The 3720-nt window shown below is 36.6% G+C and overlaps 1 annotated feature.

Annotated features, from left to right (window-relative positions):
• Positions 255 to 1454: an enhancer, noted in NCBI's record as "P300/CBP strongly-dependent group 1 enhancer chr7:81487648-81488847 (GRCh37/hg19 assembly coordinates)". NCBI's record gives its function as "activates an origin of replication core promoter dependent on BRD2, BRD4, P300/CBP, MED14 and CDK7 cofactors, with strong dependence on P300/CBP, by STARR-seq in HCT116 cells {active_cell/tissue: HCT116}" and the evidence as "EXISTENCE:reporter gene assay evidence [ECO:0000049][PMID:35650434]".

The following is a 3720-nucleotide window of genomic DNA, read 5'->3' as shown; positions in this document are numbered from 1 at the left end:
TTATTCACAGGCCAAAAATATCTGCTAATTAAGTTATTCCAATTAAATTATTCTGACAAAAATAATACTCATTGTTATTCTGCCAGTGAAAGTAACTTTATTACCTGCGGTTTCATCAAAGACTTGAAAATTTATCATCTGAAAAGCTAGCGAATGTCTGTAATCAGATTAGACCATTCCTTGCAAGATCCTGCCCACTGTTTAGCAGAGTTAATAAAACGCTGTGCTCCTGCAGGAAGCAATAAATTGCTTTTCACATAGTATGTGCTTTCCACTCTGCTTTCTCTTCTCCATGGTCAACTTACCATGGTAAGTTTACCATGTTCATTATTTGTTCCTCTGCTTGGGAAGGTAAATTTAATTTCAGAAGAAGGAAGAGTATGATGCAGTTTGTTCTGGCAGTCAAGCTTTGCTTTCTAATCTAGCTGTACTGGACAGAATGAAAATCTGGAGTCCCATCTGATCCTTGTGTCTGCTTCTCAGCTGTTTCAGAATACACTGGGCATGCTGGTCAGAAACCTGGAGAAATAGCCTCAGGAACTAGCTTTTGGTGCAAATTATGTAGGGAAATGGAATTGTTAGATATGAGTTCTATATTTCTCTTCAAAGAATCAATATGTCAGTATGTTCAATTGTTTGCCTTCTACTTTTAAACTTAACTTCCTCATAAAGCAACCTTTTTCGATTACCTGCTCCACCCTGATTCATTCGGATTACCTGCTCCACCCTAACTCATTCCAATTGCCTGCTCTGCCCTGACTCATTCTCCATCCTGACTCATTCTCCACCCTGACTTATTCCACCCTGACTCATCCCGATTACCTGCTCTGTCATAACCATTTTTCCCACCAAACCATTCACCCTGTCACACTCTTTAAATTAGCCAATTGGAATTAGTTTAGCCTGTGCTGTCTAACTCTAGCCAATAGGGGAACGACACAACAGCAGGGGCCACGTGCATCAGGGTTAAGAACTCCTTCCCCTCCCTGGTCCAAGTGTGCGCTCACCATTGCTCCATCTCTAAGGCCGCACCCTTCTATAGAAGTACATTGCCTTGCTGAGAATTAAAAAGAAAATTTTATATTCTAGCGCTATTTCTTTTGCGGCACCAAAGCTTTATTTTTAACAGAATCTTTTGATTAATACAGTGGCACGTTAGATAAGCGCAGCCTCCATGATCCTTTCATTTTGTCATAAGGTAGAGCACTCACAAACTCTGAGATAAATAATCAAATGTTATTTTAAACAGAGTTTATGTTTTTGTTTTTGTTTTTTGTTTTTTGTTTTTACCTCTGGCAGCAATAAAAAACTAATACAGGTGGGTGGGTGGAAGAGGAAGGGGCAGGAAACCGACCAAGAAGCACATAAGTAAAATCACCTTATTTCTAATGTTCTAATTCTTAAGGAAATGAGGGAATACAGCTCACATTTGCTCTTTTTCTGGGCTTCATAACATATACACAATATTTTATATTTTTTGGTATCTATCTCACCTTATGGGAAAACAGCTAAAAGCTCTTGCACTATTTCACTCATGGATTTGTGGCAAAAGCAAGTTATAGTAGACTGTCAATCTTTTCAAATGAAACTTTTTCCTTTCATGAAAATGACATATATTGCACAGTGTATTTTCACAATGGACAGGTGTAAAGTTCTCTTTCAGGTTTGTTGATTCCAAGAAACTTACATTAGAAACCCTGAAAACGTGCTTCCTCATCATATTTAAGAAAAAAATTTTTAAAAGCTACAAGATGTAAAATATTTGCTTTACTTTCTGTCCTTTACATTTTTTCACTTTACATGAATTATGATATTAACAGAAAATAGATGCCATTCAGCAACATGTTTATTAATCATCTAGTATGTGCCCAGCTTTCTGCATTTGGTGATGACCAAAACAGGAAAGGCTCCTGTTTGTGCCTATGTAATGGCCTGTAATTACACTGTACTGGTGAATGTACTTTAATTTATGCAATTAATTACTGTATTAGTTTTCTAGGGCTGCCATGATAAATTACCACTGAGTGGGAGGCTTGCATAACAGAATTTATTTTCTTAAAATTTTAGAGGCAAGAAGTTCAAAATTAAGGTGCCAGCCTGGCCGAATTCCCTCTAAAGGCTCTAGGGTCAATCTTTCCTTGCCTCTCTGGCTTCTGGAGGCTCTAGGCATTCCTTAGCTTGTGACTGCATAACTTTAATCTCTGACTCAGATTTGGCCTCTCCTGTATTTCCCCACATGCTATCCTCTGTGTGTCTCTTATAAGGACACTTGTCACTGGACTCCAGACCCACCCACCTTAATAATACAGGATGTTCTCGTCTTGAGATCATTAGCTTAGTTACACTGGCAAAGACTGTATTTCAAATAAGATTGTATTCACTGCTTTCAGGGTTAGAATGCAGACATATCTATTAGGGGCCACCACAGATACTAATCCAGAATCAACAAGACTAAGTACTTAACAAGTGTGGATTTTTCTCCCAATATAATTTTAAATTTTTCAAGGAAATAAACGGTTCTTTGCTTTATTTTCAATTCAGTTCATAGATGTTTATGTTCTTTTGAACACTAATAAAAAATTTATCATCTATAGTCATTCTCCACCAGGGGTTGAACCATAAAACATATTCCCTGGGGAAGGGACTTACCAAATACCCATTTCGTAGATTGGAGAGGAATTCTTAATTTTATGAAAAAGAATGTTTGATATGCCTATTGCCTTTATAACTCACGTGGATATCAAAAGTAAATAATTATTCATACCTTGGAGAAATAATGAAAATTACAGTGTTAAAACTATTTTTAAAGTAACAAACAAATCTCTGATCAATAATAATATAAAAGCCCATTTGTAATTTCATATTGGACTATCTGTTGAATATTCTCCATCACAGAGGTATATTTATTTATTTATTTATTTATTTATTTATTTTTGAGACCGAGTCTTTCTCTGTCACCCAGGCTGGAGTGAAGTGGCATAATCTTGGCTCACTGCAACCTCTGCGCTTCAGGTTCAAGCAATTCTCCTGCCTCAGCCTCCCTAGTAGCTGGGACTACATGTGTGCACCACCATGCCCAGCTAATTTCTCACTGGTTTACAAGTCAAAACTAAATACTTACGCTAACTGTTATATGAAACTGTGCAGCAAACCTTTGGGCTACAGTGGATACCATTTGGTTAACTCAACGCACACTTTAAAACCTTTCTGTCTGCTCATATAGGCTAGGGATCATTAGCTTACGCAGTCCTTGTGATGCTTCTGTTCAATTTCTTTACAAAATTTCCTTGAAGTATTATTCTAAAATCTGAGTGTAAAAACATTAAGAATATATTCCATTTGTCTTTCCCCTGTATTGAGAGCTGCATAAAATTAAAAAACTTACTTCACCTATTCTGAAAGTAAAACAGAATAATAACATTTTGTCTCACATCAGTGATAAAAATGTTTTATTTGAGATCCACACAAACTTAAATGTGTTTGTGGCATAAAAAAATTTGGAGAAGCCAACATCCTAGGAATGTCTGTGTGTGTGTGTGTGTGTGTGTGTGTGTGTGTAAGATTTGAGGGACACACAGAACTATGGATGAGAAAATGTGTTCTGTGTATTAAATCTTTCTTTTTTGCATTCATAAATAGAATACATGGTTTTTAGATTGGTAAACATATGCTAACATTGTCTTCTTCCAAATGGGAAGCCAACATTTCTTGGACTAGTCC

This window comes from Homo sapiens, chromosome 7 (genome assembly GCF_000001405.40).
Source record: "Homo sapiens chromosome 7, GRCh38.p14 Primary Assembly".
Classification (NCBI taxonomy): domain Eukaryota; kingdom Metazoa; phylum Chordata; class Mammalia; order Primates; family Hominidae; genus Homo; species Homo sapiens.
This window is presented reverse-complemented; position numbering and strand designations above follow the sequence as displayed.